Genomic DNA, 25125 nt, shown 5'->3' with positions numbered 1-25125 from the left:
TATATATATATATATATATATGCACACATACACATACATATATCCAGAAATATATATACATCAAAAAGATACATATATCCAGAAATACATATATATATATCCAAATATATATATGTATCCAAAAATATGTATCTTTTTTTCCTCCAAGAACGGGCTTGCAGACTAATAGGGTATTCAAATACCTACTTTAATAAACACTGACAAGTTTCTTTCCAGAATGACTGTACCAGCTTCTACTTTCACCAACTGTACACAAGGATTTTCACATTGGTGACATCCTTCTGCAATATCCAGTTTTCCAATTTTTGCCATTTGATTAGTATTGTCATAAGACAACTTAATTTTCATTTTCATTCCTCTCATCTGGAAACCGAGCATCTCTTCACATACACTTGCCCATTTAGGCATCATCTCTGTGAACCACCAATTTATATTATTTTTCTAATGTATTCATTGGGTTACCTGAAAGAGATCTTTCTGTATTTAGATATTAAGCTCTGTTAAATGAGGCACTGAAAACAGCAGTCATATACCTGTTAACCTTTTCTATAAAATCCTTAATAGAAAGAGATATTTAATTTAACAGAGTCAACTGATATTTTTGCCATATAGTTTGTACTATTCATACCTTTTTAAAAATGTATTTTTAACTGCTAAGTTGCAAAGATATTATTCCTTGTTTTACCTGTTTTACAGCTTTACCTTTCATATTTGGATCTTTGAACCTTCTGAATTCTGTCCACTGTTGTAAAAGGTGTGCATTCATACTCCTGCACTTTTTCAATGCCATTTAGTAAACAATCTCAGCTTTCCAATCTTTATAGTACAGAGTCATAGATCTATTCCTGACCTTGCTATTCATTTCTATTGGTCTATTCATCCATTCCTGTGCCAGAACCATGAAGTTTGCTTTAGCTTTTTACTAAGCCTTTATGTCTTGTGACACAACTTACTATTCTTTTTCAAAGTTGACCCACATATTCTTGGGTTTTTAATCCTCAATACACATTTTAAGATGAGATTTATCAGGCTTGCAACAACCATTGTAATATTGGATGAGATTTCTTCTAATGTATAGACTTATTTGGGTACAACTGACACATTTTCTAGACTAAGTTGTTGCACTCATGAATACTAAACTTGCCTTGATATTATCATACCCTACCTAGATCATATTTAACAACTGAGTCAGAGATAGTCACTGAGAAAACTGCAGCCTGAGGGGTCTCAGCCAAATCCCTCTCTGGAAATTATCCTTCGCTGAAGAGAACTGCCTTATCAAAGTCATACTTTCTCCTGAGGAGATACAGGACTATTAACGCCTAGTCCTCTTGCCTCAAGCTAGGACAACCCAAAAGGGTCTTCCCCGTCTCCAGACCTCACTTTCTTTGATGCATCTCTATTGAAGGTCACCATTTTCCTCTGTTCCTTTCTGCTTCTTTCATCTCTCACAGGAGTCGTTTTGGAAAGCTCTGCTGAATAAACTCTCTGCATTCAAACATAAAACTATCAGAGTATGTTTCCTGGGAAACCTGAATTATAATTCTGTCTTCTGCAGGAAAATTCCAGAGTTTGAGGGGATCCATTTAGTCAATTAAATATAAAATTGTCTATATATTTGACGTGACTTCTGATATATTTTTGGATGTAAAGAAAATGATATTTTGTTTCCATTTTTCTAATTCCTATCATGCAATATGCTTTGCTCTTCCTTGAAAGACAGAAATGTTATTTACTAGTTTCCTCAATATCCAGAATTTAAATGTTTGATTATGCCTTATTCTTGCCTCACTATTGAAGGTTACTAAAGAGTATTCTGGATGATACTCATCCCTATAACTAAGAAATAAAATCCACTGTCTTTTGGCATTCATTGCTTCCGATATGAAGTTAGCTGTCAGTCTAATTATTGTTTCTTTGTAGATAATCTTCTGATTTACTAAATTTATCTTTTATAGAGTCCAGTCTAGTGTATATAAATGAAATGTTTTATTTCCAGAGTTTATAATTGGTTTGCTTGCATACCCATCTGTCTTTTCTAACATTTGATAACTTTCGCTTCATAATTTTCTGTCCTTTAATTGTGGGTGTTATTACTACATTTTTAAGAATCTTATACTAGTAACAGTTGCAGTGGTTTTTTCTTTCTGTTTTTACTTTCAGTTTTCCTCCTAGTTATAGCCTTGTACCGATTGTGTAATTATCTGCCTCCAGTTCCCTGGCACAAGTGGGCAAGTGGGGTGCTTTCATTCTCCAATACTCTTCTAGATACCTACTCTGGTCCTTTAGTCAGCTCTGTATCCTTTTGATAAAAGCCACTGATGCCTTTCCCTGCATCCACTCAATTAAAAAAAGAGACATCTGGATATTTCTATTCTACTACCATTTACCTTGTTTTTGTGTTCAGTTGTATCTAGCTCTTCAATGTGAAAACAAAATGTATCATTGTAATGTATATTATTTATTTGTATATAGTGGAAGATAGAGGAGTATGGAAAAAGGATTAATATCCTTGCATTAATCTCATAAACCTATTATGATCAGTAATCTATCCAATCAGTTTCCATTCCTTTTTAAACATGGAAAAATTAAATATTATAACTTTTTTGTTTTTTGAAAGAGAGTCTCACTCTGACATCCAATCTGGAGTACAGTTGTGCAATCTCAAGTCACGGCAATTTCCATCTTCTAGGCTCAAATGATCTTCCCACCTAAGCCTCCCAAGTAGCTGGGGCTACAGGTGTGCACCCCCATGCTCAGCTATTTTTTTTTGTATTTTTGGGGGTAGAGATGGGGTTTTGCCATGTTACCCAGAGTGGTCTTGAACTCTTGGGCTCAAGAAGTCTGTCTGCCTCAGCCTCCAAAAGTGCTGAGATTACAGGCCTGAACCACCATGCTTGACCAAAATATTATATCACTTCTTTATCCTTGCATTCCTTGGCAGATTTATGATCTCAATTCTTGCTCTAAGGTGGCCACTAACCAATCTGTGCCAAAGTGTTAATCAATAATATGTGTAGTGTTAATGGCCTAAATTAGCAATTTTCCTTGGATAATCTACAGGCCACTTTCTTAGAGAGGTCTCTATTAAAATGCAAGAAGATATTTGCTGAGTAGTTACCTCAAATCTGTGCTTAGATTCCAAAAATATTTTCCAAAACACACGCAATTTAGCTAGCGACTACCTTAATATTTGCTTCTCTTTCAGGAGAACTCCTTGCATGAGTTGTTCATGAAAATGATGAATATAACTGGTCTGGAAATCATAATACTCATTTCATTCAAGAATCACATGATCTTTTAATATAAAATTCTATAAGCCAAGCTAAATTATAATCAGTTTTTGGTGAATGCAGAATCTGAGCAAGGGGTAATGATTGGTTGTAAACTTAGGGTCACCTGATGCATCCATTTTCACCTACCAAAAAGGCCACACACTTCTGTCACTGGTCAGAATACTCTCTTCTCTGGAAATTTCTAGAAACGCACTGAAAAATTCTTATTTTATGTGATCAGTTTTCCTAGACTCCAAATTGACCATTCTCCTTCTGCTTATCTAGTAGCATATAGTGCAATTGACTTTAGCAATGCACATACAGTTATACTGCATAGCGTCTTTATTCTGATCATTATGTTGAAAACCTGGTTGTACCAAAAGCTTCAATATTTTACACTTTATTACATAGAGTGGTTGAGCTCACAATTATTTGTTAATTTTTTATATGGTTGGATTTTCTGAGTAATGAGGGTGCTTTGGTATTTCCTCCAGTTATAGCCTACAAATTCTACTCTTCTAAAATATCCAAGAAAAAAGTTTCAATTTTCCATCCACAGTAATTTTATTTTAAAGTTGTAGGATGCTAATATTTTTACATCTGTCACATAAAATTAACATTTTTAAGCAATGTCACATTTTAAATTGTATTACAAGTCAAGAAAACATGTTATTATTTTAACACATGATATTTTGATATTATCCCAAATAGATACAGTTGTGATATTTTCATAGTTTAATTATAAACATATCTTAAAGTGCCATTTATTTGAGCACTAGTGTCTACAACATTTTTCTGTAACTTTAAGCACATTTCTTACCACAAGCTGAACTCTTCCACCATTAAGTACATCTGGATCTAACTCAGGCAAAAAGTGATTGCTGCATAGTGACAAAAACAGAAAGTATTTTATAATGTAAATGTAGAGGAAGCATATAAAAGAAACGTCCAACTAAAAAGCTTGAGAGAAATTCGTTATTTACAAAATGGAAACAACAGTTTTCTTAAATTAGGTTATAAGTAAAAATAAGTACAAATGTACATCTTTCTCTAATTTAAAAAAATCAATTTGAGATAAAACTCAATTTCTAATAACACTTCAATACCACTCTTCTTTGTCAAACATAAACACATGCAAAGAGCCACAATTGATTAGTACTAGTAAAGATGGTTAACAAATTATAGAATTCTTCAACATTTTATTTGTATTTGCTTACATGTTTTAGTCGTCTTTTCAAAAAGTAAAGTTTCCTACTTTTAAAATAGCTCTAGTGTGTTTAATGTGTTATACTAATATTCAAAATAAAATTCTGTTTAAAACTAGAACAATGATATTTGGCTTTTCAAGAACTCTTGTCTTTGAAAATAATTTTTTTCTTAAAATATGACTACCTATTTAATATATTATATTTTCAAAGGAGAAAGTTTATTAACAATTGCTTATTGTTTAAAATTTTATATATAACTTATTTATGAGTAAGGGTTATTGTTAAATATTTAAGTATATCAAAATTTCATCATGAAACATTTTTCTTATATTTTTCTTTACATCTGTTCTAATGTTTTCAATTTTCTGAACAAGACCTCTTATATCTGGTTAATAGAAATAGTAAGTTATGAATCCTATCATTGTACGTTGGTTTATAGTTCTAAGGATGCTTTCTCTTATGGTTTGGATGTAGTCTCACCAAAACTCATGTTGAAATTTGATCCCCAATGTAGCAACGTTGGGTGCTGGAAACTAGTGGAGAGGTGTTTGGGTCATGAGGGTGGTTACCTCTCATGATTGCCTTGGTGCTATTCTTGCAGTGAGTTCGTTCTTGTTCTTGTTAGCCTGGATTAGTTCTGGCAGGACTGGATTAGTTCCCATGAGAATGGGTTGTTGAAAAGCCAGTATACCCCTTGGGTTTTGCCCCTTCATGTGTGTCTATTTCCCCATTTACCTTCCACCATGTTGTGACCTGGCATCAGACACCAAGCAGATTCTGGTGCCATGTTCCTTGAACAACTCAGCCTGCAGAACCATGAGCTAACTAAACCTCTTTTTTTAATTAATTACCCAGTCTGAGCTATTCTGTTATAGCAACACAAAACAGAATAAAATACTACCCTATTAATTAAATCGCTTAATAACAACATAAAATAAATTGTGCTTACATTAATTTGAATACTTAGTAAGATAAAAATTCTCAAATATTGATGCCTTTATTCCTACTTTTCTGTTCACATTACAATCTGACATAATTCAGATCACAAAGTTTTATTTTCATTTCCATATGATTTTTCACATTTTTAAATGAATTAAATGGATATAATTGATCACATATTAAAGTTAGGTTTATATATATTATTAAACGAGATTTGTTTTAAACCTATTTTGACTTGCTGTTAAACTAAGTTTTAACTGTAATAATGATAGCTTTTTGTTTGTGTGTTTGATACTCATGTGAAACAGTTACTACCCACAATGCCTGGAAATATTTCTAAAATTGTCTTTATATTCAATATTGGCTTACTTTTTTTTTTTTTGAGGTGGAGTCTGGCTCTGTCGCCCAGGCTGGAGTGCAGTGGCACGATCTCGGCTCATTGCAAGCTCCGCCTCCCGGGTTCGTGCCATTCTCCTGCCTCAGCCTCCGAGTAGCTGGGACTACAGGCGCCCCCTACCGCGCCCGGCTAATTTGTTGTATTTTTAGTAGAGACGGGGTTTCACTGTGTTAGCCAGGATGGTTTCGATCTCCTGACCTCGTGATCCGCCCGCCTCGGCCTCCCAAAGTGCTGGGATTACAGGCGTGAGCCACCGCGCCCGGCCAAGCTTACATTTTTAATAAATGCCTATAATAACACTTTTACTCCTTTGTGGATATATGTAGCTAAAACAAAAATCTTGAAAACCTATGTAAAAATATCATCTCTGGACTTTTATTTCCTTAAATCTTTGGTTCAGGATGCGTATATGCTTTATATCATATTGTTAGGGGCTGGATTCTGTCCCCTAAAATTCATATATTGAAGTTCTAACCCCTAGTACCTCAGAATATGGCTGTACTTAGAGATTGGAAAGAGGTAATAAGGTAGATAAGATCATATAGGTGTGCCTTAATCCAATATCACTGGTGTCCTTATAGGAAGAGAAGATTAGAACAAAGACAACACAGTCCACATCCTTGTGAGGATACAGCAAGAAAGTAGCCATCTGCAAACAAAGGAGAAGGTCTCCAAAGATACTAAACCTGCTGACACCTTGATCTTGAACTTGTAGCCTCTGGAGCTGAGTGAGATAAAATAATTTTCCCTTGTTTAAACTACCCAATCTGGTATTTTGTTATGGCAGCCCTAGCAAAATGGTACATACATTAATATAACAAAAATTAATTAAGCAACTTTTAGATTTAAGGTACCTTGTTGCTAGAGAATATAAACATTTGATATCTTCAACCTTGTAGCTCACCTGTACGCCATGAGTTAGAATTATTCTCTCTCTATTAAAGAGGAAACTGAAGCTTTGGGGCATCAGTGAAATGAATTACATGACTGGTAAAGTGACAGCCACAGGGTTGAATTATAATTTTAACTGTCAAACTTATAAATAACAAAAATAAAGCAAAATAAAGCACAACCTATAATATACATGATATCTAAAAACATTTAATGAATACCACATTTTTTACTTTATAGAGTAGAATTATTTTTGTGGCTCATCTGTTGGTTTCAAGTATTACAGAATAGAGTTGTTCCCAAACATTTCAGGGTGAAAAATAGAAGGAGTAATTAAATCTATTCTATATGAAAGGCCTTTGTATTACCCGGCAACGTAGCGTATTGGCCTTTGGCAATAAAGTCATGTTTGTTTTAGCACAATTAACCTAGGTTTCAATTTTCAAGATGTGTTTACAATACAAAAATCTAATTTAGAGGAAATGACCTCACCATTTCATATTTCTGGAACTAGTCGTTTCATGAACCCCAACCTGTGTGTGAAGCCATTGGTATGTATATTCTCTATTCCGTTCTAATTTTTCATTTGCAGTGGTATCTTTGTGGATAGGGTCTTCTTCTATACCTGTGAAAGAAATATGGAACGTGTACTTATTATTTAAAGAGACCAAACTTTGGCCAACCAGTTCCATCTGTGCTAAACATTTTATCACAAGAAAGAAAAAAAAATACTAACTTATGAGAGCTAAATCTGTAAGAAAACTAATGTCAGTAAGAAAAGTAATGTCAGTCACAGATTAACTGTTTTTCCTGCTTAGGTTTCAAACCCATCTATTTTGAAAAAAATACTTAAAATCAATCACCATTTATAGGGTTTGTTTTTGAGTTTTTAATTAGAAAAATCAGAGAGTTATTTTTTGGTAGACTGTAGAATTTTTCTAATATAAAAACATCTGTTCCCTATCTGTCTTTTCAGGATTAAAGTCTAATTGTTTTTATACCACTCTTATCCATATGGAGAATTTATAAATTATATTGAGTGTTTTTGAACCTGAATTTTCATTTACATAAAACTGAGCTTGCTTTGTGTAAGCTACTATAGTATTTCATACATATCAGAGTTACACTGAAGACTAGTTGTTTTAAAGCCTTCCTCCATGGACTTGATCTTTTAGACTGCTCCATTTTTGGTTTAGGGCTTGTTGGCTTCATAAACTTGATTGACAGTACACCAGAGGGAGACACCTCTTAAAACCTAAATCGCAGTAATCAACTCAGAACAATTCTGTAGTTTAAAAACCTGAAAATTTAAAGTCAATTTATTACTTTGAAATATTCTTTTGTTATAGATGTTTGTACATAAAAAGTCTACATATTTGCAAGTTGTTTGGAAAATGAATAAAGCATGGTGCAAAACCTATTTTGAATACTCTGTGCATGTACGTGCAGACACACATACATACAAGCTTAGCATGTGTCATTCAGAATATGTTGTGGATGATATATCTAACATGTCTTTCTTCTTTAAAAGTTACTGTTGTAATTAGTGAAATGACTCTAGTTTTCAATTTAAACAGATGTTGAAGCCAGGTCTCTGGAAAGCGTAAAATCTGGATGCTTTGGGTATCTAAAACTCTGTTACTTAGTAAAGTTCCTATTGCTTCTTATGCGACCTTATGTTTCTAAAATGACTTCAGCCCTTGAAACCTGAACTTAGGCCAACTCTTCCATAGTTGCTACAATTAGAGGAACACTTACTTCACATGAGGGGATTGGCCATTGAATCCATGAGCAGACTCCATTTTCATAAATAGCCTTATAATTATACAAAAGTTCTTTGTAGATTCTGGATATTAGCCCCTTGTCAGATGGGTAGATCGTAAAAATTTTCTCCCATTCTGTAGGTTGCCTGTTCACTCTGATGGTAGTTTCTTTTGCTGTGCAGAAGCTGTTTAGTTTAATTAGATCCCATTGGTCAATTTTGGCTTTTGTTGCCATTGCTTTTGGTGTTTTAGTCATGAAGTCCTTGCCCATGCCTATGTCCTGAATGGTATTGCCAAGGTTTTCTTCTAAGGTTTTTATGGTTTTAGGTCTAATATTTAAGTCTTTAATCCATCTTGAATTGATTTTTGTATAAGGTGTAAGGAAGGGATCCAGTTTCAGCTTTCCACATATTGCTAGCCAGTTTTCCCAGCATCATTTATTAAATAGGGAATCTTTTCCCCATTTCTTGTTTTTGTCAGGTTTGTCAAAGATCAGATGGTTGTAGATGTGTGGTATTATTGCTGAGGGCTCTATTCTGTTCCATTAGTCTATATCTCTGTTTTGGTACCAGTACCATGCTGTTGTGGTTATTGTAGCCTTGTAGTATAGTTTGAAGTCAGGTAGCGTGATGCCTCCAGCTTTGTTCTTTTGGCTTAGGATTGTGTTGGCAATGCGGGCTCTTTTTTGGTTCCATATGAACTTTAAAGTAGGTTTTTCCATTTCTGTGAAGAAAGTCATTGGTAGCTTGATGGGGATGGCATTGAATCTATAAATTACCTTGGGCAGTATGGCCATTTTCACGATACTGATTCTTCCTATTCATGAGAACTTAAACAAATTTACAAGAAAAAATCAAACAACCCCATCAAAAAGTGGGCGAAGGATATGAACAGATACTTCTCAAAAGAAGACATTTATGCAGCCAATAGACAAATGAAAAAATGCTCATCATCATTGGCCATCAGAGAAATGCAAATCTACCTAATACTAAATGACGAGTTAATGGGTGCAGCACACCAACATGGCACATGTATACATATGTAACAAACCTGCACATTGTGCACATGTACCCTAAAACTTACAGTATATAAAAAAAAAGAAATGCAAATCAAAACCACAATGAGATACCATCTCACACCAGTTAGAATGGTGATCATTAAAAAGTCAGGCAACAACAGGTGCTGGAGAGGATGTGAAGAAATAGGAACACTTTTACACTGTTGGTGGGACTGTAAACTAGTTCAACCATTGTGGAAGACAGTGTGGCGATTCCTCAAGGATCTAGAACTAGAAATACCATTTGAAATACCATTTGACCCAGACATCCCATTACTGGGCATATACCCAAAGGATTATAAATCATGCTGCTATAAAGACACATGCACATGTATGTTTATTGTGGCACTATTCCCAATAGCAAAGACTTAGAACCAATCCAAATGTCCATCAATGATAGACTGGATTAAGAAAATGTGGCACATATACACCATGGAATACTATGCAGCCATAAAAAAGGATGAGTTCATGTCCTTTATAGGGACATGGATGCAGCTGGAAACCATCATTCTGAGCAAACTATCACAAGGACAGAAAACCAAACACCGCATGTTCTCACTCATAGGTGGGAATTGAACAATGGGAACACATGGAAAAGATGGGGAATATCACACACCGGGGCCTGCTGGGGGGTGGGGGGAGGGGGGAGGGATGGCATTAGGAGATATACCTAATGTAAATGACGAGTTAATGGGTGCAGCACACCAACATGGCACATGTATACATATGTAACAAACCTGCACGTTGTGCACATGTACCCTAGAACTTAAAGTAAAAAAAAAAAAAAAAAGGAAGTAGAAAAAAAATAATTATACAAAAGTTATAAGACACACTCAAACAAAGGGAAGATTTGGCATTGCTACACACTGCATTGGGTCTCCTTTCTAGCAAAACCCCAGCTACTGATCTGGTTTCCTTAGTGACCAGGCCAGATGTTGGACAGCACAGTGACAGAAAACAGTGATGACTCAGTGACCCTGATGATCAACTGAGCCCAAGACTTGAAACTCACCTACTCCTGATATGGAGAGAATCCTTTTGTAATAAGCAAACTTTTAGTTAAAACAGAAATAATCTCAGTCTTCCTGTTCTTAAAAATAGTGACATATACTTGCAATGGTCACTTTTTAAAGTACTCATTTTGGAAAGCTTTCCTCAATTCTACAATAACACTTCATAAACACTAAGTAATTTTACATCAAAACTCAGCCAAAGTTCTAAACAATTCCTGAGTAAAAAGGAGAGATTTAATCATAAGGATCCAATTCTTATTAACCATTTTAACCCCAAGGCATAAATTGGTAGATTGGCATGAGCTCAGTGTAAGAAACAGAACAAGCATAGTGGTGAAATTGGCTGGATGTACTTGAAAATACTGCAATTCAAATGTTAGAGGAAGTGGTTCTGTCTCAGCAAAATCATTTCAGAATTACTCCTGTTACTGAGGAAGAGAAAGTAACATTTATTCTTGGAAGCTTCAGAAGTCCTTCTTTTAGCAACTTGTGTAGGAAGAATAAGGGTGACCTGGATAAATTAACGGATACTTATCAGTTTCCAGTTAGGCTGCCCAGTAATTCCTTCCTTTCAATATTAGAAGAAGCAACCTTCTGCCTGCAGAACACTAATCCCTTTGTCCACAATTCCTTGCTACTTCTATGGGTCTTGCATCATCAATTCCCTATATTATCAACCTAAGAAAAATGCCTTCCTTTGATTCTTGCTGTCCTCCAGTTACTACTGTTTATATATGCTTTTTACTTCAAAACACAACCTTAAGTAATTTTATTTAAACATTTTTTGACCTTTTATTATAAAAATAATACATACTCATTATAGGAAATTTAGAAAGTAAAAAGTCAAAGAAAAGACAATCTGCAACCACCATTATCAAGACAACCACTGGTTAATATTTAAAGGCATTTACTTGTAGCTGTTTTCACATTTTTTTGTTTTGTTTTGACTTTAGTTTACACACATAGTTGTTCCTCAGTACCCATAAGGGATTGGTTCCAGGACCTTCTTTGAATACAAAAATTGGTGGATGCTCAAGTCCCTGATAGGAAATGGCATTTGCTTATAATCTGTGAACATCCTCCTAGGTACATTAAATCATTTATAGATTACTCATAATGCCCAATATAATATAAACTGTTATACTAATTTTTTTAGGAAATAATGAAAGAAAAAATCTGTACATGTTCAGTATAAGTGCATTTAAAAAAAATTTTTTTAATCTGCAGTTGGTTGAACCTACGGATGCAGAACCCATGGATATGAGAGGCTGACTGTAATTATATGTCTTCTTCATATCCTATTTTTCAGTGAGTATTATAATAAATGTATTATATGTAATAGAAAACTGAGACACAATTTTCATGGTTTTATACTATGATCTACCAACTTATTATATAATAGGTTTTTAATTATCTCTTTTTAAATTTTACCTTAAGTTCTGAGATACATGTGCAGAATGTGCAGTTTTGTTATATAACTATACACGTGCCATGGTAGTTTACTGCACCCATCAACTCATCATCTACATTAGGTATTTCTCCTAATGCTATCCCTCCCCTAGCCCCCCCACCCCTCAACATGCCCAACTGTGTGTTTTCCCCCTCCCTGTGTCCATATGTTCTCATTGTTCAACTCCCAATTATGAGTGAGAACATGTGGCATTTGGTTTTCTGTTCCTGTGTTATCTTGCTGAGAATGATGGTTTCCAGCTTCATCCATGTCCCTGCAAAGGACATGAACTCATCCTTTTTGATGGCTGCATAGTATTCCATGGTGTATATGTGCCACATTTTCTTAATCCAGTCTATCATTGATGGGCATTTGGGTTGACTTCAGTCTTTGCTATTGTGAATAGTGCTGCAATAAACATATGTATGGATGTGTCTTTATAGTAGAATGATGTGTAATCCTTTGGGTATATACCCGCTAATGGGATTGCTGGGTCAAATGGTATTTCTGGTTCTAGATTGCCACACTGTCTTCCACAATGGTTGAACTAATTTACACTCCCACCAACAGTGTAAAAGTGTTCCTATTTCTCCACATCCTCTCCAGGATGTTGTTTCCTGATTTTTCAATGATGGCCATTCTAACTGGTGTGAGATGGTATCTCACTGTGGTTTTGATTTGCATTTCTTTAATGACCAGTGATGAGCTTTTTTTCATATGTTTGCTGTCTGCATAAATAATTAATCCATTTTAAAAGATGGAATTAAGAATAAAATATCTAATAGTATAAATATTTTAAAGAATTTGATATAATCTATATTGTCAAATGGTTTTAAAAGGTCTCACCAATTACATACTTTATGAGATTGCTTATTTTACTGAGTCCTGGTCAACAGTAAGAGAGCATATATTTTTAAACTGCTGATAATTTGATAACAATACTGTCTAATTATGGTCTTAATTTATACATCTTTGCTAGTGAAATGGAACATTATAATTATTTAATAATTTTAGTTTGTACATTGTAAAATATCTTTTTTGTTTTCTTCAATTATCTACTGGATTCTAGTTTCCTTTTTTGTTTTTGACTATTTATAATTCTTTTTCTGTTATCCCTGGTGCAAATATTTTCTCCTGACCATTGGTTGATTTTAGTTTCTACTCTGTTTTCAAAAGGGGCAATTTTCATTTTCTGTAGGCATAGATTTATATATTTGCCCCAAATCTTCTAAACTATAGGCTACTTTCCTCTCATAATTTATAGGTATTTCCCAATTCTATAAACTGCATGAGATATAAGAGGATTTCAGGGACAAATTGGACACTCTTCCAATATTTTGTTTTTCACAAATAATATCACTACAAGATACTGTAAAATGGCCTGAAACTGGCTTATCTAACAATTATATTCATTCCTTAATTTCACTGACCTCACTGCTGGATTCCAGACCACTTCCTTTGTCTTACAACTCTTTTTTTTCTGCAGGTCTTTGGGACACCAGACATCAAGTATTCCCTCCCTTCAGGATCCTTTTTAGATTCCTTTAGATGTTGGTGCTCCCAATTTTACAAGTACCTAGGAGTCAGTTCCCACTCTATATCTGGCACTGTGCTAGCTTCTGACAACAGTCAACCTGATTGGCATAGTTTCTTATCTCATGAACTAACAGCTGAGAGGACTAGGTATCACCAACCTCTATCTTAATCCTGTTCTTGTATCTCATATTTCCACCTGAACTTCAAAATCACAACTTGTCTTTACCATCATCATCCTACTAAAGTATGTTTTTTCCTCCTGGATTCCGAAGTAACTCAGATTACTCAGTCTGTAGTCAATATTGGCTACTTATTCTTTAAGTACAAATATCTAATCAGAAATAAGATCTAGTCCACCTCCTGGGTAAACTACTAATCTGGTTCCTTCTTTCTTTCGCCATTGCAACCATTTTACTTCAGGCCCCATTCTGAACGTGAGTGAGCAGTCCTATATGTGGTGATATATGTATGTGTAAGGGTACCTTTCTTACCTGTCACAACAGAAGAGGTTCTCTTCCTCTCAAACCCAACGCCTTGAACTGTGCACCAGATCCCAATCCTTCCATATTATCTAGAATACCTTGCCATCAGTTTCCCTTTTCTTCTATATTTTCAGCATTCTTAAAACTGACTTTTTACATTCCCCTCCAGTGACTCTTCTCTCTCTCCTTCCCTAATCAGATGAGCTTCTTGAAGACAAAGATTAGTCTCTGTTGACTTACTTGCCATCTGCGTTATGGCTTTCTCCCAACACCCTTTCACTGGAACTGTGCACATCAAAAGCATCATAATGCTAAATTTGGGGGACTTTTTGAAGTTCATATCTTACTGACTTCTCTATAGTATTATTCACTGTTATCCATTCCCTCCTTCTCGAAAGGCTTGTTTTCCCTGGATTCATTACCTTCTCCATGTTTTTATTCTCAATCCTTTGGCTAAACCCCAGTCTCTTCCAAGGGCCCCTCTTCCCTTGCCATCTTTTTCAATCTCAGGATTCTTCTCTGGAGTTCTATCTTGGCCCCATTTTATTTTTAGGCTATACTCTCTCCGTATAATGATATCCATTCAAATGCTTCAATTGCCATCTTTATTTCCTTCTGAGACATGTATTCAAAGACCCCTCACATATATCCAACAGATACTTCAAGCACGTCAAAAAATTGAACTCATGTTTATTATTTAACCTTTTCCTAAATTTTCTATAATGCTATCACTATCATTAATTTACAACTGAGAAAGCAGAGTGTGGCACTGATTCTTTCTCACCTCTCACCTTCCAACTGCATATTTTACCATCTATGTTAAATCTATCAAATCCCCTCCATTCCCACTGCCACTATTTTTAATTCAGGCTACCATTGTTTCTACTGAATTACTGCAACAGCCTTCTAACTGGCCTCTGCTTTTATTCTTCCTCCCACAGATATATCTCCATACTGCAAATGATCTTGCTAAAGTACAAATCTAATTGTGCCATCTCATAGGTTAAATTCCTGGTTCTCCACTGCCTTTAGATAATATTCAAAGTTTTTTTCCATAAAGTATAGGTCTTACTTTATATCTTCAGACACTTCTGTTAGGTTCCTGTCTCAATCCCCCAGACATAGTGTAGTTACCCCAAATGTTCTCTTTTGCCCACAGACCTTTGCCCATACTGTCTTCTATGCTTGGGACTATGCACTTTGCCAAGGGTATTCCTGCTTCAGGTCTTTAGGTCTCAGTTTAGAACTTCCATTCTTTGGGGTATGCTCCCTGATCATCCAACGCTGCATTCCTTATTTAAATTAGGTTAGGTATACTCATTCCAAAGAACTGTATAGATACCCCATGATAGCATTCATTACATTATATTTTATTTTCTTATCTATGTGTCTGCTTTCCTACTATTATCAAGGGCAAAAATTACAATTACTTTTCCATCAGTCTAATACAATATAATCTCCTTAAGTGGTACATAGTAGGATGGTGCTCAAAAATATTTGTGAAATAAAATAATTATTACAGTCAATTAATGTTGTCTCAGTACCCTGAGAAAAGTAGAACTAGAATTTGGATGTTTTTAGCATGTGGACAAATCTGTGCATTGTGGAGGATAACATATGTCTAAACATGATTAATTTAATTATTATAATAGAAACTTTAGCTCTGAAGGTCAAGATTAGATTGGGATAAAAATTAACAACTAATGGTATGGAATTAAACACAAAACCAGGCCAGGCGTGGTGGCTCACGTCTGTAATTCCAGCACTTTGGGAGCCTGATGGGGGCAGATCACCTGAGGTCAGTAGTTCGAGACCAGCCTGGCCAGCATGGTGAAACCCCATCTCTAATAAAAATACAAAAATTAGCCGGGTGTGTGGTATTGCACGCCTGTAATCCCAACTACTATAGGGAGGCTGAGGCAGAAGAATTGCTTGAACCTGGGGGGAGGGGTTTGCAATGAGCCAGGATCACGCCACTGCCGTCCAACCTGGGCGACAGAGCGAAACTTTGTCTCAAAAAATAAAATTAAATAAAAACAGGGGGGAGGGGGGAGGGATAGCATTAGGAGATATACCTAATGCTAAATGACGAGTTAATGGGTGCAGTACACCAACATGGCACATGTATACATATGTAACAAACCTGCACATTGTGCACATGTACCCTAAAACTTAAAGTATAATAATAATAAAATAAAATAAAAATAAATAAATAAAAATAAAACACAAAACCAAAAAAAAGAAACACTACTCATTCATATAAAATTACTTTATAAAATGTTTGAAATATACTCAATCATAGAGGAAAGCAGATTAGTTTTAAGAAGTTCACCAAAAGAAATGAAGTACTTTTTAAATTAATGGAAACATTATTCTTTTTTTCATGAAAAGCACAACAAAAGTGTTCATTAAACCCATATGCTTCAAATAAATCAGTTTTCTAAATTTTCAATATAACATAATATCGTAAAGTGAGGGAGATTAAGATTCAATTATCATTTAAGGCACAGAAAAATAAGCTAACTATTTATATTTTTAATACTTATGGCAACTTTCCCATGACTATTTTCTTTTCCCTTAATGGCTTTTCTCAGTAATATAATAAAATACTCTTGGTTTCATTAATAGAGATGAGTTCATTTCCTTACCAAAAGTTTTTGGAGGACATAGTTGTGGCTCAGAAAAACACTTCTTCATGCAATGGAAATATTTTTGGTAACTTTGATAAATGGCTGATTCTATGTATCTTATGTCGGCAATACTAAAATTTTGATTTACACTATAAAGCAAAAGTGGTCTGTATGTGTTTATTAAAATAAGTTATTGCATTATACCTCACAAATAAAGCACAACTAAAAATGGAATTTGGCATAAATGTTACACTAACAGAATTTTAATTTCATTAACATTCGTATAAATACTTGTTGATAGGCTGTTTATGGTTTCTTCCTTAACCAATCCAATCTGTTGTTGGAAAGTTGACAGCATTGGCACGAAACCAGTAACTCTATAAGAGCCATTTGTGTGTGACAAGCAACATCCCTATTCTTTAAAAATATATTTAAGTATATATGTAATTGATCACTCAGAAAAAATGACTTCATGAATAAAGAGAATTGTTGGTGCAAAAGTTTAAAAAACAGAAATTTTGGGAATAGTGCCAAACCTATATATAAGGTCAAAGGCTAACATTAGCACCAGTCACTCCTTTACATATTTCACTATATTTTATGGCAGAGAGGGAAAAAAAAACTAAAATGAAAAGTTATGTGCTAGTTTCTGACATTTGAATTCATTCTCAAAATTGGTCCATTTGGGGTATGGGATAGTACATAAAGTGTATGAATAACCTTTATGAAGGCAAAGAAAAATAAAATTAGTTATTAAATTATATCATGGAAAATATTTAGATTTTGCAAGACACATTTTTTGATATTACGGAATTACTAGATTTAACTGAATCCCTCTGCAATAGCAGAAACATCCTTTAACAAATCGACTATAGTTGTGCTTATTAACAAATTGTAATAAATAATCTGTATTCAACTTCTACACAACTCTACATTAAAGTAAATATGTTTTGCCATGTATATTGTTCAGCTGGGCTGTATTTCCTCACTAATATCTTTACTGTGCAGTACCAAATACTATATAAAGGGTGATTCTTTGGTTTCTTTCCAGAGAATCACATAACTCAGGAAAATCCTAGGTTGCTTAAGTCATATATACATTAACATGTAATGTGTCTCCATGTGTGCTATAACTAGGGCTGGGACTAGAGTAAGGTGAGTAGGACAAGTGAGGTACTTGCCTTAGGCATAACATTTAAGAAAGTGCAAAAAAACCTCAGTGATTAAGATAAATAATATTTTACTGTAATATTTAAAAATCAAAAGTAATGCAAAAATTTAAGAGAAGCAAAATATCAAAGTTTTAAATAACAGGATTAGTAACAGTGTTATGCCAAGTTGTATTGAAGCCTGATGCAAAAGGAAAAATCAGTAATACTAATTCTGTCCCTGTCCTGGTATTTATTCATTTCTGAGAAATATTAATGTAAATGTTAATAGGATATTGCTTTTAGAACTACCCAGTAGCCATGGAATTTATGATTTTTTCCCATGAGGCTGTCACACTACCTCATTTTCCATTACAAGAGGTCCTGGAATCTGACTTATAGGAAATTCATTAGAGAATAAATTAATTCAGTCTGTAAAACTAGGGTCTGTACCTTATCCATCTTTGTATCTGCCTAGCAACGAAACTGTACATAGTAAGTTGGCTTTTTCACTTACTAGCTGTATAATGTTGGGTAAAGTATTTATCTTCTCTCTGTCTCAGTTTTCTCCTTTTAAAAGGTAAATAATAACATAGAATGAACACAGAGTACGTAACATATAGTAAGGATTTACTAGCCATATTACTATTTTTTATTTAAAAAAGTAAAATGAATTCCATCATGCATAGCCTTAATGCTATCTCAAGTGCCAAAGGCCAAGACTTACTCTAAATTCAGGTCAACTTCGGGGTTCTAGGGGGTCACTGACAGGAGGGAAAGACTGATGATTAACACAAAACTAGCCAGAAAAATTGTCTAGGGGGTAAGTCCAGGAAGTACTCCTTACCAGAATTCTAAATATGTAACCCATATTTTTAAATGTATTTTATTTCATAATATATAAGGATTTTAGTGCATCCTTAAAAAGAAAAATCAATTTCCACACGATAAGAAGAGTAGATGGTCTTAATTGATTTTAAGTTATTACAAATTATTTTTATCAATTAGTAATAACCATGAAGGAGGCTCCATTGACATGATTCTCTCCTGTTTCACCATCTCAATTTAATTATCCTTGAAAAATATTCCTCTATCCAACCTAGACTCCCTCAGGGAGTGTTAATATAGTAAGTCATCCAAACTAGGGCCCGCTCAATAGCATAATGGAGCATCTAATGATGTCAGTAGGTTGGCTTTCAGAATAACATGGTGATAGTGGCCACATAAATATTACTGCCACACACATATATATGTGTGTATGAACACATTACATATATATATAGAGAGAGACACACACATTTTATATATATACACACACATTACATATATATACACATATATACATATATACACACACATATATACATATATACACATATATACATATATACACATATATACATATATACATATACACATATATATACATATATACATATATACATATATATACACATATACATATATACATATATATATACATATGTATACACACATATATATACCTATATACACACACACACACACACACACACACACACACACACACACACATATATATATATATATACATATATATATATATATATATATATACTTCAGGTCCCTGCTCTATCTAAAGGTTTTCACTCATTGATAAAAATGTATTTCTAATTCTACTGATTTACATATATTTATTAATTGAGGGACAAGTAGGTGGTTTTATTTCCTTTACAACTTTTATTTCAAAAGAAACCAATAAGTGTATGAGTTGATATGTTAGTGATAGAAGCTTGAAAAACTCAATAAAACATACTTTATATTATTACATAGCTATATAACAGAAATGCTTATAGCACATATGTCTATATGTTCATAATGAAATTCCCATTATGTGCATTTATATCATTTTATTATAAACTTCTGCCTATGATAATTTTTGTATTTGTCAAACTGAATTATATAGATAAGTTTCTGATACAGAGATAAGTTCAAATGAAATACTGAATATATATTAAAATACTGTTTGCATTATGCAAAGCAATAATTAAAAATAACTTTCACAATTTGCATGCCAACATATTAGAAAGTAATAAACCTGGTTCTAAAGTTGTTGTTTTCCATAAGCAACAATATTAAGCAATTATCCCTATAGCTGGCTGAATATTTAAGAGTTTTCCAGCTGAATACTTTATTAATGCCAAAGTTTTATCTTTTATTGTACTATTTTTAGAAAGACTGACTTTTATTTTATGTAGCAGAATTTCATTTGTAAATGAAATTTACAAATGAGGTCCTTTTTACAGGAATTTCACGTTTAATTTGAAAATAGGTAAAAGCAGTCCTTGTCTACTCATATTCTATTGGAGAAATGAGTCAATACAGGTAGGAATAATTGGTCTACACTGTAAAATTACTTTTTAGCTTTAAACTATTAATCATGTAAATATTAATTTTTGAAAGCTATTTTCAATGATTTTGTTTTGAAATATAACACATACACAAAATTTTACATATACTATGTGTATATTCAATTGCAAGATTTATAAATATACTATGAAATATAAAGAATTATATACATTATATATTAAATTATATGTAAATTAATTATATAAATGAAATTTCATAAAAATATTCCTCTGATCATTTCAAAATATAGAACACTGCCTGCATACCAGCGGTCCTGCTCAAAATCTCTCCTAATTCACCATGGAATACCATGCAGCCATAAAAAGAAGAAGTTCATGTCCTTTGCAGGGACATAGATGAAGCTGGAAGCCATCATTCTCAACAAACACAGGAACAGAAAACCAAATACTGCATGTTCTCACTCATAAGTGGGAGTTGAACGAGAACACATGGACACAGCGATGGGGACATCACACACCGGGGCCTGTCAGGGGGTGCGGGGGTAGGAGAGGGATAGCATTAGGAGAAATACCTAATGTAGATGACGAGTTGATGGATGCAGCAAACCACCACGGCATGTGTATATTTATGTAACGAACCTGCACGTTCCGCACATGTACCTCAGAACTTAAAGCAAAATTACAATAAAGAAAAGGTCTTGCTTCTCTTAAGGGCAACTACTATAGTTAAGCTTATAACCTTGACTTTCTTGATTTCCTTTATAATGTTTAGCACATACATGTTTAAGCACTATATTATAGCTTTGTTTGCTTTTGAACTATACATAGAACAATTCTGTAGGTATTATTTTGTTTTCATTTGTTCAATATTGTTTGTAAAATGTATCTGCGTTGCTGTGTATAGATACGGTTCTTTTTTTATTGCTGTACTGTATATTTCACTATATGAATGTATTAGAGCTTATCCATTGCATTGTTGGTGGCCACATCGGTTGTTTCCAGTTTGGGACTATTAAGAACAACACTTGCATCCTACTTCTGTCATTTCAGCAGGGACATGGATGGAACTTGAGGCCATTATCCTTAGCAAACTAACATAGAAACAGAAAACCCGATAATGTTTGTTCTCACTTATAAGTAGGGGCTAAATGAGAACACATGGACACACAGAGAGGAACAACAGACATTGGGGCCTATTGGAGGTTGGAGGGTGGGTAGAGGGAGAAGATCAGGAAAAATAATTAATGGGTACTAGGCTTAATACCTGGATGATAAAATAATCTGTACAACAAACCCCCACGACACAAGTCTAGCTATGTAACAAACCGGCACACGTACCCCTGAACTTAAAAAGGAAAAGAACAACACTGCTCTGACTATCCTTGTGCAAGGCTTCCTATGATGCAAATATCTATGAGTGTTGCTTGAAGGAGGATAGGGTATGCATATCTTCAACTCTACTGGAGTGTCAAAGTTGTTTGTCAAATGGTTACCCCAAATTATAATATATTCCAATTAGCAAAATATGAGTTTCATTGGTTCTTGTCCTCTATAATACTAAGTTCTGTTAGGCTGCTTTTGTTGTTTATTTGTTTGTGTGTTTTAATTAGCCTTTCTCTGGTTGCAAATGAGATTATCACTTGTTTATATGTTCATGAGTTATTTGGATTTCTTTTACAAGATGTACGTTAAAACTTCCTGTTTATTTTTCTCTTGAACTGTCTCTATTTTAATGCTTCCTCAGAATTATTTATACTGGATGTGAGTGCCTTGTTGGTTTGTGTAGCAAATACCTTCTCCATGTAGCTGCTGTTTCACTACTATTATGACATCTTTCGATGTATGTGGGTTCTTAACTATAATGCGTATATATTTATTAATATGACTAGTACTTTTTGCATAATTTTAAAGAAATAATTGCATATCTAAGTTTATAAATATATTCTTCCATATTATCTTCTGTAAGTTTTATATTTTTTCTTCTTACACACAGGTCTTTTTTAAGTAGGCAGAATAACTTATTTTAATATAGATAACTAACTTTAAAATAAGATTTAGAAAACCCTACCTATTCCTCACTGATTTGGAATGCAACCTCTATAACAATATCAACTAAACATTATATGTATGGGCCTCTGTCTTGGCTCTCCCGCTGCTGTTTTCTATATCCTTACCTTTCCCTACCCTGTCTATCCACCACACAATTACCACCATATCATACCATATCACATGATATTCACTGTCTTATATGATGCAGTTTTATAATAAGTTGTGGTGTTTGATATGGTGAATTCTTCCACTTTATCTTTGTTGAGTGTAATTGGCTATTTGTGGATTTTGAATTTCCATAGAAATCTTAGATTCTGCTTGTCAGCTTTCATAAACACCTTGTGGGATTTAATTGAGATTGTAGTCATAAGTTAATTTGGAAAGACTTAGTTCTTTAATATTTAGTCTTCCAATTTATAAATATACTTAAAGCTTTTCTTTAGCATTTTCAGTAAAGTTTTATGATTTTCTTCATAAGGTCTTATGCATCTCTTGTTAGATGTATCTTCAATATTTGATTAAAAAATATTATTACTGGTTGCATTTCTTTTCCTTCTGATTGTTTATTCATAGAGTTAGTTTAAGAATAGGGCCAGTTTGGGAAATTATATTTTTCTAGGTTTTTAAATTTCCTCTAAATTTTCAAATGCATTGACATAAAGTTGTTCACAATATTATTTTATTAAAGCTTTACAGTTGGTATCATCTGTCAATCTATCCCTTTTCTATTCATGATACTGGTTATTTGTGTTTTCTCTCTTATTTTCAGGATCAAACTTGCCAGGGTTGCATCACATTTACTAGTCTTTTCGAACAATTTTGGTCTTATTGATACATTTTATTACTTTTTTTATTTCATTAATTATTGTTGTCTACAATATGTGGTGTTTTTGTTATTGTTACTTTTTAAAATCATTATGATTTCTTCTACTCATAAGTTTTTAAGTGTTCTTTAACTTCCAATAAAATGATTTTCTAGTTACATTGGTATTATTGATTTGTAGTTTACTAGCATTGTATTCAGAAAACACCCTGCATAAGATTTTAATCCTGAAGACATTTTTTGATACCTGATTTAAGGCCAGTATAAGTTCAAGTTTGATAAAAGTCCTATGTGGGCCTAAGGATAATGTACATTTTCCAATTGTTGAATGTTCTGTATAAGCATTTTAGGAAAATTTTATTAAACCAGTTTATCAAAGCCTGTCCCTTACTGATTTTTTGAGTATAGATGTCACATGCTATATAGACGTGATAGAAATGTCCTTAAAATCATCCAATATAGTTGTGGAATTTGCTACTTCTTAGTATTCTTTAATTTTTGCCTTATTTTTGAGGTTGTGTTATACTAGTTTATTAAAAGTATCATATCTCTAGTAAATGGAACTTTTTATCATTTTGAAATTCTGCTCTTTATGTTTGGTAATTTTTCCCCCCAATGTGTATTTTTTTCTTATATAAATATAAGAACACCAGCTTTTTTTTGTTGCTGTTGTTAGAGTTTTTGTGGCATGTTTTTTCTATCTTTTTGCTTTTGAACCTACTGCACCTTTATAGTTTAAGTTTGTTTCTTGGATTTTTTTAAAATCTAGAAATAATTACTATTTGCTACCTGGGCTATTTAATCATTTATATGTAATTCAAGTACTTATATTTTGAGTTTAAGTACACAATCTCATTTTGTGCCTTCTATATGCCATCTGTACTGTGTTATTTTTTTTTTACTTTCTTGACTCCATATTCGATAGAGTACTTCTTTTCTTTCTACAGGTTTCTTTCTAGTAGTGTGGCAGTAATATTGTTTTAACCTACTCACTGAGTTTTTACCCTAGAACCCTCTCTCTCTCTCTCTTTCTCTCTCTCTTTCTCTCTCTCTCTATATATATATAAAATATATATTCGATACGTATTATAAATATATTCCATATATTTATGGAACATATATATACATATATATACATATACATACATGGAATTTAACGTAATCTAAAAGTAACCATTTTTCTCTCCTAGAGAATACAAGAATCATAGAACATTTTGACTCAATTTAGCTTCATTTTTCAGTTATATATTGATATTTCTGTGTTCCTTACATGTAACATTACATTTCATATTATTACTGTTATTAATATTTTAAATTTATGCTTGATTTCACCAACATATTCTCCTCTTAGTTAATTTTTCTATATTCTTGCAACTTGGATCTTCCATCTGCGACTTTTTTGGCCAAAAAGACTGCCCATTTAAAAAAACGTATTTCTCTTGAATATCATAAACCCATAGTGCCTTTCTTTGCCTAGAGTAATTCTGCACTATTTAGTTTCCCTGTTTTTTTTCTTTTCTTTTCTTTTCTTGTGGTGTTTTTTGTTTGTTTTTTTGAGACAGGGTCTTACCTTGGTTGCCCAGGTTGGAGTGCAGTGGTGTGATCTCAGCACCATCTGCAGCCTCCATCTCCTGGGCTCAGGTGATTCTCCCACCTCAGCCTCCCAAGCAGCTGGGACTACAGGTGCATGCCACCACACCTGGCTACTTTTTGTTGTTATTGTTGTTGTTGTAGTTTTAGTAGAGACGGGTTTTTGCCATGTTGCCCTGGCTAGTCTCAAACTCCTGGACTCAAGCAACCTGCCCACCTCAGCCTCCCAAAGTGCTGGGATTACAGGTGTGAACCACCATGCTTGGCCCCCATTTTTTTAAACCTTTTGTTTCCTTTTATCTGATCACTTAGAGCACCTTTTCTGAAGTCAAAGGACCACATACAACTGAATGATTCTTAATTTAGTAGAAGAAATGATAAACAGAGTTGGTTTCCAGTGTGATTCTCTATAAGGAAAGAAATATATTATTAAAATATTGCCCATCATTTATGAATGATCCAAGTTTAATATAACTTGGGGTATGGTGGAGAGGAAACTGTACTAAGAGGCAGAAAGTGACTATTA

General features: G+C 33.7%; 1 protein-coding gene across 13 annotated transcripts in view; it reads right to left on the bottom strand.

Moving 5' to 3' along the window:
• LRRIQ1 (leucine rich repeats and IQ motif containing 1) overlaps positions 1 to 25125 on the bottom strand; it is a 236455-nt gene that overhangs the window by 35954 nt on the left and 175376 nt on the right. For 9 of the 13 annotated variants that reach the window (XM_011538819.4, XM_011538817.3, XM_047429655.1 and 6 more), the window contains 2 exons: positions 7203 to 7335; positions 4096 to 4156 (listed from right to left, as the gene is read on the bottom strand). The exons of 3 other annotated variants lie outside the window; for them this stretch is intronic. In XM_011538819.4, coding sequence (XP_011537121.1) covers positions 4096 to 4156; positions 7203 to 7335 — 194 coding nt within the window. Of the gene's footprint in view, positions 1 to 3820; positions 4157 to 7202; positions 7336 to 25125 lie in introns of those variants that run through there. One more of the 13 variants, XM_047429653.1, reaches the window with a different exon arrangement.

Source organism: Homo sapiens, chromosome 12 (genome assembly GCF_000001405.40).
Source record: "Homo sapiens chromosome 12, GRCh38.p14 Primary Assembly".
Classification (NCBI taxonomy): Eukaryota; Metazoa; Chordata; class Mammalia; order Primates; family Hominidae; genus Homo; species Homo sapiens.
The sequence above is the reverse complement of the archived record's forward strand: the minus strand, read 5'-3'. Positions and strand labels throughout refer to the sequence as shown.